At 43.4% G+C, this 14,433-nt stretch overlaps 1 protein-coding gene across 3 annotated transcripts in view, besides 1 other annotated feature; it reads right to left on the reverse strand.

The window, feature by feature from the left end:
• Nucleotides 1-191: 191 nt before the first annotated feature.
• Nucleotides 192-14,433, reverse strand: part of LONRF2 (LON peptidase N-terminal domain and ring finger 2) — a 50,627-nt gene continuing 36,385 nt past the window's right edge. For all 3 annotated transcript variants that reach the window (NM_198461.4, NM_001371783.1, XM_047443537.1), the window contains one exon: nucleotides 192-12,809. In NM_198461.4, the coding sequence (NP_940863.3) occupies nucleotides 12,615-12,809 (195 nt within the window). In that variant the 3' untranslated portion in view covers nucleotides 192-12,614. The remainder of the gene's footprint in view (nucleotides 12,810-14,433) is intronic.
• Nucleotides 2,580-2,629: a silencer, noted in NCBI's record as "silent region_11813". NCBI's record gives its function as "represses an Ori minimal core promoter by ATAC-STARR-seq in GM12878 lymphoblastoid cells {active_cell/tissue: GM12878}" and the evidence as "EXISTENCE:reporter gene assay evidence [ECO:0000049][PMID:35858748]".

The raw sequence follows: 14,433 nt of genomic DNA on the forward strand, positions 1-14,433 counted from the left end.
GCTGGGGACACAGAGGTGGGCCACGGGGCCGGGAGGGGGCAGCTTTCTGGAGGAAAAGCCAAATGTTAAAATCAAATTAAATAAAAAATTTAGTTTCTCAGCCACACTAACCACATCGTCAGTGCTCAAAAGTGACATGTGGCTGGTGGCTACCATACTGTACAGCACAAATACAGAGCATGTCTAAGTACTCATTTTCCTTATGACTCCGAGCTTTATTTCCAACAATGTCCGTCATCACAGAAAGTTTCATCCAACAGTGCTGAAGGAGTTAAGATTAGTCACTGCATGAGGAAGCGGGAAAATGCCTGATCCTTACAACTCACATATAAAAGACTTCATCAGAGGTTTTCCCAGATTTGACAACCATCCTATTTAAATGACATTACCAATAATGACTTGTGAAAACTGAAACTTTTAGTCTATGATTTTTGCCCCATATCCATGTTAGAGGAAGAACTTAAATATCATTCTCTCTTTAGTAACCAACACAAGATTGTCCTAAGAAGAAAAAGATGATCAAAGAGTATGCAGGGTTAGGTGCAGTGGCTTATGCCTGCAATCTCACACTTTGGGAGGCCAAGGTGGGAGAACTGCTTGAGCCCAGGAATTTGAGACCAGCTTGGGCAACACAGCTAGACCTCGTCTCCATAGAAAGTAAAAAAATTAGCCGGGTATAGCGGCATGCACCTGTGGTCCCAGCTACTCAGAAGGTTGAGGCAGGACAATCCTTTGAACCCAAGAGGTTGAGGCTGCAGTGAGCTATGCTTGTACCACTGCCCTCCAGCCTGGATGACACAGCAAGACCATGTCCCCCAAGAAGAAAATAAATAAATAAATAAACAAACAAACTAACCAGAGTATGTAGGTTAAAAAAAAGAAAAAAAAAGATGGGAAAGGTATCATAAAGGTGCCAGGAAGTTAATAAAAATACTTTTCAGTATTTTGTAGAGTGTTATGCTGTTTTAAATATTGTAATTTATGCCTCTAAAAATTCCAAATAAATATATGCTTTCATAGTTAACTCAGTATTTGCAATTCATATTCCTTTTCTTAAGAAGCACTACCCCCTTCCTCCCAAATAAACAACTATACAAGCTTCAGTTCTTATTAAATCTTATCTGCCTTGGATAGAAATGATTTTTAAAAGTAATTATGGTTTTAAGCCAAAGCCATTGGCAGCCCTCTTTCCTTTTTTTTCCTACTAAAATTAAATTGGAATCGTTCCACATCTGCACTGTGTTGAATACTGTTCCTCTAAAATTCATGTCCACTAGAACCTGTGGATATAACCTTATTTGGAAATACAGTCTTTGCAGATGTAATCAAGTTAAGATGAGGTCATCCTGGATTAGGGTGGAAGTTAAATCTAATGACTGGTGTCCTTATATAAGGAAAGGGATATCTGGACACAGACACACAGAGGGAAGAAGGCCATGTGACGATGGACACGGAAACTGGAGTGATGCAGCCGCTGGCCGAGGAAGGCCGAGGTCGGCCAGCAGCCACACCAGCTGGAGGAGATGAAGGAGGAGTTTTCCTGGGGCCTTCAGAGAAAGCCCGGCCCTACTGGCACCTTGGCTTTGGATTTCTAATGTCCAGAAATGTGAGCGAAGAAAACTGATTTATTGTGAAAAGCCGTCAGTCTGTGGTGATGTGTTAGTACATCCCTACGACACAAACACAAAGGCCTAGGCACTGATTTGATCTAATTTCTCATCAGTCTAGCCTATTACTTAGGTGTGATTATTTATTAAAGAACATTTACAACACTGTAAGTTTTATTCAGTTCAAATATCACATATTAGATATACAATACCAATTAATTGAAATGAACAGTACAAGAATACATGAAGTAAATATCATAACATTTAAGTTTCGTCTCACTTAGGCAACAAGAAATGCTGAGTAGTATTATTACATATTCAAACCAGACTTAAACTTCAGAAACAGAAGGCCAGATGAGTGACCTGTATCACAGGATATGACAACACATCACCTATCTCCAAACAAGAAAAAGCATGATTATTAAGTTTATCTACACCAGCTTATTTATTCAAATTTGCTCTTCTTATTAAACAGAAAAAAAATACACATTCAATTCCTAATTGGTAAAATCATTTCACAACTCTAAAATTAAGATGCTAATGACACCACTCTCCACTAGCATGAAAGAACAATATATGAATAGAGTACACAGCTTTCCAACCTATTAACAGGTTCTTATTTTCAGAATTGAGTGGGAAATTGTGTGTGGGGTAAACAGCATGAGAGAGAAGTCGGTCACTGGTTGAACTGTTCACAGTACAAAAAGGTGACAAAACTATGAAAGTGAAAATACTATGGTAAATAACGAAGGCCCCAATGCAATTTTTGAAAATGATCCCTGAAAAGCAAAAGGTTAGAGATACTCATGTTGCAAACTCCATCTTCATCCTTCAAAGGTCACATGCGCCAACCAGCCGAGACTCATGACAGTAAACTTCCTCAGGGTTCTCTATTATGATCAGGGCCAATCCTTCACCTCGAGGGCTGTCGTAGTACCCCGGGAGCCTCACATGACTCTCTCAGCCCCTCCCTGCTCTGAGTGACTGAGAGAACTTCCTTAGCTGCAGGGCTGCAGGCAGGTGCTTCTGCTCCTGAGCTCCTAAACACACCAAGGGGTGCTTGAAGGTCCAGGCCCGCCCCTCTCTAGAGGAAAAACCTACTCATTTGAGACTACAAACCTCTTCTAGAAGCTGTAACCTGAAATGCTAGAATGAGCTTATATTAATCATGCTTTTTTATAATGTATAATGTTTTCACATCTTGGGGACCTCACTGACTGGGGAGAGACTGCCCTTCCCAGGGCAGGCCAATTCTTAGAGATAGCAAAGGGGTCCCTTGGGAGTGCACCTTTGCACACTAACCAACTCAGAGTCCATCTCCTCGATTTGACTCTTCCACTGCAGAAGGCAGTATCCCCTCACCCTGATCACCCAGGGCCAGGCACCAGGCAGCTGGAGACCACCCCTGTAGCTACTGCCCAAGACATTCAAACCTGCCAATCCTACACTCTGCCCCCGCCCATCTTCGCCTTTGCCATGGAGACACAGTGGAAAGCTGCTCGCCTAGTTCTGCCTCCTGACCACTCTGGTGCGTCCTCCTCCTGTGGCCCTGCGTGGCCTGGTGCGCTCCTTTTCTCCAGAAATGCAAGTAACAAACTTTTCTTTCAATGACAGCAGCCTCTCCTTTATGAATTAAACGTGGGTACATTTCGATACCACGGGCACAGTGAGCAGGGTGAGTCCGTGTGTGGCACAGGGCATGCCTCGCCTCTTGGCTGCGCGTGGCTTACTAACTGGACCCCCACCCTGGGGAGCATGGCCGCTGCTGGCATGTTTGCACTTTGGCTGCACCACGTATGCTGTGTCTGCCAGTGTCTGTGACAGTCCAGCCTAAATTATAAGAGGACTGAGCTCATTCAGTCCTTGGTGCTGCAGACTAGGGTGATGTCAATCGCAGTCCCCTACACAGGACCTTCTGGGTATAATTGTATAATTGGATGCACTGGGTCCCTCTGAATTCCCTACCTGGACATACCTACTTTCTTGGCTGGTGGTCTCAGGGCAATGACGGTAGCTCCCTCCACAAGGAGCAAGGAACGGCTTTCCCTGTGAGCTTGTGTTGGATGAGAGTCTGATAACCGAGCCAGCAACGCTGAAGTCAGTGGTGGGCTGCTCACCTGAGGGGCCCTCCCCCAGCATCCAGTGAGGAATTAATCGCACTCCTGGGCAAAGGATCTGGGTGTTGGTCTCCAAAGCGCTGCAGGGATCCTCCGGCCATGCGGCCGGTGAGAGGCACCCTCCTCACAGAAATGACAGCCGCCAAAAGGTTTAAATGTTGCTTTAAGAGCCTTGCAGCTGTTGTGACTCATTCCTCAATCCGGTGGGATGCAAAGGATCTATCCATAGAGACCAGTGGCTTGAGGTTTGAGGAAAAGGGGAAGGGGTGGGACACTTTGTTCCCACTCCCCTGAGACCTGCAGAAGCCCCTGAGCTACGTGAGCCTGTAACCACCCCCCACCAGTGTGCCTGGGCACTCTGAACACCCTGCCTGTCAACATGCTGGGACCGCCTCCTTCCAACTAAATTGCCACAAAATCAGAAAAAAAGGAAAAAGCGAGAAAAAGCCTAGGTACAAGGGAAAAAACATTAAAGGTAACTAAATAGACTGTGTATTTATGCGTGTGAGTGCATATACATACACATACACACATATATACACATGCAGATAGGCTATTTTAACGCAAATATATAATAAATTGTACATGTATATGTACATATGCAGCTAAACGGAAGGTCCCTAATCTGATCCAATTAGAAATCCAACGCTTATACACTAAAAATGTATACAACAAATTATATACTAATATTACAAATAAATAAGATGTATATACTGAAACATTTAACCAAAACATAAAAGGGTGCCTATTGGCTTTTGTGTCTCCATAACTTAGGTTCTAAATTAATTGTAACATTTGCTAAAATGTACCCATTGACAAAGCTTCATAGTCTTAACACTGGGGCTCAAATTACAGTTATACCTGGAGATCCCACTAAATCTAAACATTGTACCCCTATAATCTTTTTAAAAAGGCAACTAAATATAAAATGGGGGGTGGATGGGTAAGGTATGCTTCACTTTAACTGTAGCCTGTCTAAATTTCCTGTGGTCATAGTACCCAACGCCCTAATATCCCATATTGAACACAGACACTCTAATAAAACAAATAATAAATTAAAATTAAAGTCAGTCTTTGGCAGTTATAAACTAGCTTGATAAAATGATGCCCCATGGACCTCCAGTTAAAACAGTTAATATGAGGTATTCAAGGATTAAAACTTACTAATTAATAAAGGGGTGATTATACCCTTGTTTCTCCATTGAACAGCCCAATCTTTCCTATCCTTAAACCTGGAAAAAAACAAGTGTGCCTCATGGTGGATTACTACAACCTTATTGCTGCAGTCCCATCCATTACCCAATTTCCATTATTATTAAAATTATTAATTCTACACAATAAATAACTGGCCAATATTTTGCTCTTACAGATTTGGCTAACATGTCCCATTAAGTGTCTACTTGCACAGCTTCTTGGCTGCCGTTTGCCTTCTGCCCTGAGGGGCACATACACCTTTGCAGGCCACCCACAGGGAGCTCCACGGCTTTGCCATGGCACACAATGTCTGCAGACAGGGTCTTCACCACATCCGCCTTCTCCAGGAGCACAAATGAGGAAACTCATTGTCACACTCATTAAGGACATACAAGTCCAACATCTTTAGATACTTTCGAGGTTCTGATGGCAATGTAGTCCTCATTTACAAATTTTACTTAATCTTCTTGCTGCTGCTTACAAATCAGCTTGCTTTAAATGGGGCACCCTCCATAAACAACCTCTATAATCAAACCTTAAAATCCATGGGCACTCCTGTTGGTGCCCTCAGAGACCCCTTCATTATAGAAGCTCTGGCAAGCTCTATGCAGCCCTGGAGTCTCTGGCCCACTTAGGATGGACATAAGGTGCCTAAGGGCTTTGGATGCAAGAAACTATCCCTCTCAGCCTCATGCTACCCTATTAAAGCAGTAAATGGCTGGATGCCTACTGGGCTCTCCTGGACACAGAGGCTCTCAAAGACCTAAGCCTAGGACCCCAATCTCCAACTGTCCATTATAAACACCTGACAAGCTCAGCAAAACTACCGATGCCTCCTTAACACAGGACAGAGTCAAGCCTGGGCCCTCTGGTGTATTCTACCCACAGGAGGGTGGTCTCCCATGTCCTCAGTCCCTTGTGAGGTCATCCTCCCGCAGACCCCTTGGTGTCCCTTAGATTAACTGAGTGAACAGCAGTGGGAGTTCACAGAGGGTACAGATGGCATTGCCAACCCTCATATAAATGATGGAGCCCAAGAGAATGTTGCTGCTTCCCATCTTTTAGCCAGCATGCCCTGATACGAAACGGAACCCAAAAAACAACGCATGTGGCCAAAGTTAGGCAGTCGTCTTAACGCTGGATGCCCTGGTCAGCACAGCGCCCCAGCTTCACATTTATGGCCAACTGTTGGACCACTGCCCAAGAGTTGCCCCCTTCAGGATGAAAAACTCTGGGACTCTTCCTCACAGATACCCCAAATCCAAATCTAAATCACATCTCTCCACAGGTGCTACAGCTGGGATTCCAGGTCTTGCCAGGACACTCCTTCATCTCTTCAGAGTGGCAGGCATCACTGGAAGTCACTGAGACACACATGCCACTTCTCGGAATCCACAATGCTGGGCTCTGGGAAAAGGCATTCGCTACAACTTCCACAGCCCTGATAGGTTCCACACAATCGGTTTCACGAAGACACACAATGGTCTCCTCAAACAACTCCATTTCAAATTCTGGTCTGCAAACAGACCCCGAAATGGGCCTCTATCTTGCACCACAAACCTGAATCTCTCTTAATTTAGGGCCTTTCGGTTGACTCACACCTCACACAAACTTTAAAAAACATTACCATAGTCCCCTTTAAACATAAAAAGAGGGCTATGTCTTGCATTCTTGTATATAAAAGCTCATTACATATTGGGGCCTTCCATAATGTTTCCCCCTATTCCTATAAATCTTGCATCTTATCCCCACCCCATCAGGGCTGGAGCCCAGAGAGAGAACACATTCTCTCCTGGACCCACTAACCCCAGGGCTCCCACAGGCCGTGCAGCTGCTCATCCGATACGGGACCCACTTGAGCCTAAACTTCCACCAAAAAGCAAGAACCAAAACCCTATCAAGCACAGCTGCACACATTCTGGGGTCTATTGATCTTGTCACCACTGATGTGGGGGCTTTCGCTGGTTTATGATCCAGAGACCCAGACCCTCCAGGTAAGCCACTGTTTCAACCAAACGCGGCAAATGCTGGGACCCACATCAGCACGAGTGGGGGTCCGCTTAGAAAGGAGACCCCACGTCTCACATCCCAGAAGACATTGCCCAGCCCAGCAGCTCACGGCTGAAGATGACATGGTCCCAGCCACGACCTCGCCGTGGGAGATAACTTTGTCCCAGATATTAAAACCTCTGCCCTAGCGATGTCCACGGGCTACCTCTCCTGAGGCACAAAGTGGGCACATGACATGTTTGCTGTTCTTCCTTTTAATACTGAGGAGTCCACTAATGCTGATACATGCCCTGCTTCTGCCGAAACATGGCCCCCTACACTCCCATGTCTAAATGGAAACTCTGGTAGAAGGGACTACTCTCTGTACCATTCTAAAACTTAAGGGAGCGTCTTGCTTTCCCAGGAGGTAACTGCCCCCTATCAGTCAACTCCTCAACCCCTGGGGGAGGAGCACCCACCCCCGGTGCCTTCTCCTACCACCCCAGCCTGCTTTCCACCGCGACTTCCTGTCCTGGGTCTCCACAGCCACTCCCTCCCTGTGGTGACACATGAACACCACGAGTCTCTACTTATCCTTTACTGAACTATCAGTGCACACCCCCAGCCACACAACCGCCAGACCTGCCACCCCGAGCCGAGAAACACCGCGATATCATCATCAGACTCATATGTTTAACACATGTTAACAACTGCACCAAGAAATGTTAGAGACCCCCCCCCCGCAAACTGCAGAACTACATTCTTGACTAATGCCACACACATGAGAGACTCAGCTATGGGCCAGCCTAAGGGACTCCTGTATCTCCACGTGTCTTCCTCCTTTCTACTCTCAGAATAAAATGTTTTCTATGCTCTTCAGGGCAACGTATGCCCTACTCTTTAAAAGTTTCTGCTATCAAAAGTGACCTTAGTATGTCAAAACAGCAGAGGACCAATTGTATTAATCATGATTTCTATATTTTATGATATTTTGACATCTCAGGGGCCTCGCTGACCCAGGAGAAACTGCCCATCCCAGGGTGAGCCAATTCTTAGATACAGCAAAGGGCTACCCTGGGAGCAAAGTGACCAATCCAGAGCCCATCCTCCTCTATCTGGCTCTTACAACCTAGGAAGCAATATCCCCCACCCTAACGACCCGGGGCTAGGTGCCAGATGGCTAGAGACCACCTGTATAGCCTAGAGTCTGAGCTGTTATTCAGACCAGCCAGTCTTAGCTATTTCCCTGCCCTTTCCTGCAGAACATACAGTAGAGGGTCTGAGCCACGTTCCTCCTCACTCCTGCTTCTGCCTGTCTCCCATGCTTCCCCTCATGGCCCGGTGTGGTCTGCTGGGCCTCTCCTTCTTTCATTTCTGTAGGAATTGTGAGAACAGTCAACGCTGTCAATGGCATCCACCTTTCTGCGTCCTCAATCAGTTACTTTTATCAGACCTGGGTGCAAATTCGAGTTTATGTCCCCAACTTGGGGGAGTGCAATGGTGGCACTTCAATTTCTTCATTATCTGTGCTCACCTAAAAGCTGAGTCACTGCTAAAAGGCTATTTTATAGAATTCAGCAGTTGAGAAGTGAAAGTCAAGGTGAGGCTGAGGTGAGGAGTTGTAAAGGGAAAAAGACTTTCCCCTGGGAGTCAGAGCCAGTGCTCTGAATGAAGTGTCTCACCCCAGTAGAGAGGGGGTGATGCTGGCAAAGGGGTTCGGTTATCTCCCTGTGTGGGCGATGGCTCACGCAGCTCATCCTTCCCATCCAGAGCGGGCTTCCCTGGGAATTAGTTTTTGGTGAACAATAGAATCAGAATGTGGCCTTTGGGAAGGACGATGTTGAAGGGGAAGAACTCCTTCCACTGAATGCCGCTGCTGTCTATGCTAAAACATGGGGAGATGGGCCGGGCACGGTGGCTCACGCCTGTAATCCCAGCACTGTGGGAGGCCGAGGCGGGCAGATCATGGGGTCAGGAGTTCGAGACCAGCCTGACCAACATGGTGAAACCCCATCTCTACTAAAAAAAAAAAATACAAAAATTAGCTGGGTGTGGTGGCGCGTGCCTGTAATCCCAGCTACTCAGGGGGCCAAGGCAAGAGAATCACTTGAACCCAGGAGGCGGAGGTTGTGGTGAGACGAGATTGCGCCATTGCACTCCAGCCTGGGTGACAGAGTGAGACCCCATCTCAAAAAAAATAAAAATGGGGATACAGGGACCTCCCTACCCTACTCAATAGTTATACTGGGGAAAAATAAAACTCTGTGCTTTCAACTAAAAGAAATCACCCACATTTATTTTCTTCTAATTTGCTATCACCTTTCTTCTTCATATCTTTCACACTTCTTCTTATTTGATAGACAGTATTCAAATTTTGAAGAGTGGTATTTACCCAAGTAATTTAAGTGGTGGGGCACAAAAGAAAACAAGAAGGAGAAGAAACAGATGGGTATTTTTTTAAAGCCCTTAAAAATTATAACAAATTCTATGTAACACAGGCAATGGAGTATTTCGATGGTAGCAACTGCCAATTTTCCAAAAAGTTTATAATAAAGTGATAATATCATAGTTCATTGTTATTCTACCATCCATAAACTTCAACTGTTCCTTGATGATTCAAATGTCCTGTGGTAAGACTTAACATATATTAAGAGTTGAGATACAATTTGTTAAACAGTCTTGGTGTGTTTTTTGTTTGTTTGTTTGTTTTTGTTTTTGAGAGAGGGAGGAGGTTTAAGTGCAAAAAGGACACATTTGTGACCCTAAAAATGAGATAATACTGTTGAATTTGGTACATGAATTGGTTAAGAATTATTGTGTTTCTATGGATAAACCTTAACATTTTAAATTATTTTCTTTTGAAACTTTAAAAAGTATCCTAACTTTCAATTCTGAAGATGAGGACACACACGGGGGATGGGATAAGCTAAAAATGCCACGGGCTTTCAGAAAGCTGCCTTTGGGATCTTACTTGCATTTCAAAGACACAGGCAGGTTTGGGCGATGAATGGAAAAATACAGAACAGCATGTATTGTTCCTCAAGAAGAAAAATGACTCCCCCACGCTGCTATTACTCTTTTCTGCTTTGATTCCAATGTAACGAGAGCATGCCTATTGGAGCACTTTCAGTACAATTAAGCTGGAATGTCCTGACATTGAATGAGAGATTACATTATTTTCTGAGAAATCCTTAGAATTGGCATCTCCCCAACAGAAAAGAGGCAGAAGGGGGCAGGCGGAGGAGGAAGCAGACCGTTCTGCTTTAGCTTAATTGGTAGCAAACTGAAGCTGGGGTTTTTTTTTTTTAGGTTTGTAAGGGAGGCTTCCTTCATGATATGACCGTAGGATGCTGTCACCCTGACCCGGTTCCTGATGCGTGATGTTTCTAAGTGCTCAGTAAGTACCAATCTACTCCCACACTGCAGTATGTGGGCGTGTGATGCTGAACAGAGAGAGCACGATGTGATCATAGTTAATTCCCTCTGGTATCAAAAAAATAAAAACCTATCAAAAAATAAAAACGTATGTTGCTCTCGTCTGCGTCATCATTGTTGTTCAGACTTTTACATAACATGCCGAAGGAGAAGACTCAGAAAGCCAGGCAGAATCATGAAGAAATAACTGAATAGTTCTGATTCCAAGAACTGTGTGACCTTATGACATTTAAAGAGTGAGGAAGAGAAAGCAACAGGTTCCAAGTATTATAGCAAGCATACCAGCTTTACTTCAGGAAGGCTCGTGGAGAAGCTGTGATCACATTGTGGTTATTTAGATACTTCCAAATGGAAATGGCATTGATAACTATTCAGCTGTGATATGAAGGTACAAAAAAATTTTCCAAAAGGGAAAGGCAGAGAATGGTCAATGCATACTGATTTTCATGAACCACTTCTGGTAAAGGTCTTCTGGCATGTGAGATGCATTTTGTTTTCTTTATTTTATTCCAATCAATGAATGATTCAGTTATTCCAATCAAATGATCGGGTTAGGTTATAATGCCTAAGAAAGTTGAATACTATTGTTAATGCATAAATTAATAAAATCTCTTAGAAATCACTTGGCCAAACTGCCATTAAACCATCTCAAGATGATATTTGAGATTCACAATAAGTGAGGCACTTGAAACATTGGATTGGAAAATACTTTCACATTTTCTCTTTACAATTAAGTGATGCTGGTATTTTCTAACTCCCATGATGAGACTGAAAACTAAAAGAAAAATTAATAATATTATAAAGTCTTTATCTACTGAAACTACTTTATCTACTGAAAACTAAAGAAAAATTAATAATATTATAAAGTCTTTCTAATAAAATGCTTGATGGATTGATATACCATCAACATTGTATATTATGAGATATATATATTTTAAAACTAAAAAATCACCTTCAATGAACAAAGCAAAACTTGCAGCTGTGATGTGGTCGTGACCCTCTGGTTAAGAATGTCCACCTTACAGACGAGGAAGCCAACCAAATGCACCAGCTGGTTGGGCCAGAGAGAACATATGAGTATCTCAGATTCAGTTATTCCAATCAATATCACCAACGTGCATTACAGGATGGAAGTCATACTACTGTCCTTTAACAGATAACACCTGGTCTGATCACCGTAAAACTTTCTTTCAAAAAAATAAAGATAATTTTAGGTTGGTGTTGGAGAAAAACTTACTGAATATTTACATCCCATACCGGCCATCCTCCCTTCATATATTCTGATCTATTTTCCTGGAATAGATAGATTACCATGGCATGGCAGATTTTTTAATGTTTTTGTATATTAATAAATGGATAGTAAACTGAAATTTACTGATGGGGCTAATTTCTAATGCAAATCCCAATAGAAAAAGATGACTGTTTCCTAAATGCTTAGTAACCACTGATCAATGAGACAAGGTTCTACTTTCAAAGCATTCTTTGCACTTGGTGGTTTTATGTTTGACATCCCAATGCATATACAATTTTAACTCACTTTATTGTGTGTAAATATATATATATATATCCTCAAGTGAATGATACTGTTCTCAGGTTTTTCTATATCCAAGGTATACTTTCTTATGTTTTGACATTCGTTTGATTACAACATGCAATTTACAACACCTGGGACTACAACAGGACATTAAACACAGTTCTATCCAGAGGCTACTACTTCTTGGGTAAGGACTAGTTTGGGCTCCTGCACTGAACAATGGTGTGATTATTCGATTTCACAGACAACTTCACAGCAACACGCAAAGCCTAAGCGTAGTTTTGGTTAGCCTGTGTTCTAAGAAATCCACTTCCAGATAAAAACGTGGTTCCCCCATATTGTCTACACACTAAAGCACGCCTTTACCATCTGGCAGAGCCAGATGCTGACTGGGAAGTGAATCCTTCTTTCTCGTGAAACCCAAACCACATGTAAACCATCTGCAGGGTCCTGTGCTGTCAGTGAACTGCATTCCCCAAGCACCTGCTTCTAAGAGATTTTCTTAGGTTGTTTTCCAACTATGGGCTCCATTCAGACTTCAGGCTAACCTCACACAAGGTCAGATCCCACCAGACACAGAATTGTCATTTTTGAGGAGGACTCAATGTTTGGCAAGCGTCCCATTTTGGAACCTCATCCACAAGCACTTGATGAAGCACAATGAATGGACGGCTATTCGTCCATGCCTGACATTTATAAAAGCACAAGGGCTGCCAGAAACCTTGACAGAGAGAAAAATCAATTATTTCTCTCCCTGGCATTAGCCAGCTCTTGCCGACTATTCATCTTACGCGTGATGATGACTAATATCCGTCGGATGGCAAGGAGCCGCTCTTTGAGCGAGGTCATGCCGAGGATGGCCAGCTGAGCCTTGCGCTCCAGGGGCAGCACGGCCAGGATCCACCAGGACCAGGCAGGGCCGCTGGGATTACTCTGCAAAAGAGATGAGGGGAAAGCAAGGTTAACACTGGAAATGCAAGCCTGTTCCCCAACACAGTCTTTTGCTCCACCAACAGACACGTGAGCAAGAATTAAATGCCACCTTGTATTTTAGGGCTAATTCACAATTCATTCAGCTCTCAAAATACATAGTTTACTTTTATGGTACACATTTAAAGGTGGGGGAACTCACAAAAGGAAGAGCCTGCAAAGAGAAGCATCTTCCATGGGGAGATTCTATGAATTAGTTGCTTCTGTTCTCTCAAGCTTTCAGTTAAGAGTATATACCAGTCAGAGGAGAATACTATCACTTTAACCTTCACTTTCCAATGTTCTGTGCTATTATTTTTTATGTCTTAAGCATGCCATATAAAGCATAATATTATAAAGGCTAAAAGTATGTGTACAAGTTTGAGTGACATACTCAATGTGGCAAATGAGTGTATGTATGAAACATATATATGTATGCATGTCATATGCAAGAGTTATCATAAATTATATATATAAGAATTATTATGCCACCAAATAACCTTTATTTCACATAATCAAACAAAGCACTTCTAGACTAAGTGCTAGGCAAAAGCCGATCATAAACTCGTTCTCAATATTCTTAGTACTGGAACCAAGATATCCAGGCCTTTTTGTTTCCAGGGTCTAGGATTCTTCACTCTATTCCTTCTCCAAAAATGTGCAGGATGCCGATAAGAGCTGGGAGGGTGAACTCTGGAGTCACCTTAGTTTAGGGTGAGGTAGATTATGCTGGAGGACTAGGAATAGCACTGTGGCCAAAGCTCACCAGGGGTAGCCCAAGTCACTGTGAGGAAGACATCAACCTGCCCTTCAGAGGTAGAAAGGCACAGATGGAGAAAACAACCTTTTATACAGATTCACACTCTTTTCCCTGCCTCATCTCACAGAGAAAGAAAAAAACTGAGTAGCACGCTTAATGGGAAGGACCTCATATAAAAATTGATGTATTACCTAAAATCCCTCTGTAGTCATGAGAAAAATGGTCCCCCATATGGTACCTTATATGGCAGAGGGAATTGGAGGATGTGATTCAGTTAAGGACTTTGGGATGGGGGGATTATCCTGATGGGCCCAATGTGTTCATATAGGGTCCTGTCTGGGCTGTGGTCAGAGGGACATGTGGCTTTGGAAGAACGGTCGGAGAGAAGCAACATTGCTGGCTCTGATGGAGGAAGGAAGCCGAGGAATGCCGCCAGCCTCTACAAGCTGCAGAGACAAGGAAACAGACTCTCCCCCACAACCTCCAAAGAGAAACGCATGCTGCCATCACCCTGATCATAGTCTGGCCTGCAGAACCAGGAGTGAAAGATAATACATATGTGTTGTTTTAAGCCACCACGTTCGTGAAATTTCTTAACAGCAGTAGTAGGAAGCTAATATACCCGCCAAGTAGAGATTGATTAATTTGGTTAATAAACAACAACTCCTAGGAAAAAGAATGACTCATATCCTAATGCAAGTCAGTGTAACCACCATGCTTTCTGAATCTGAGTTCCAGGATACTGCAGAACAAAGGCTTATGCAAAAAGGGCAAGCCAGGAAGGACTTAATGGCAATTTCTGGCAGTTAAAGCATTTTTCTGTGTTTG

Source organism: Homo sapiens, chromosome 2 (assembly GCF_000001405.40).
Source record: "Homo sapiens chromosome 2, GRCh38.p14 Primary Assembly".
In the NCBI taxonomy this organism is placed as follows: Eukaryota; Metazoa; Chordata; class Mammalia; order Primates; family Hominidae; genus Homo; species Homo sapiens.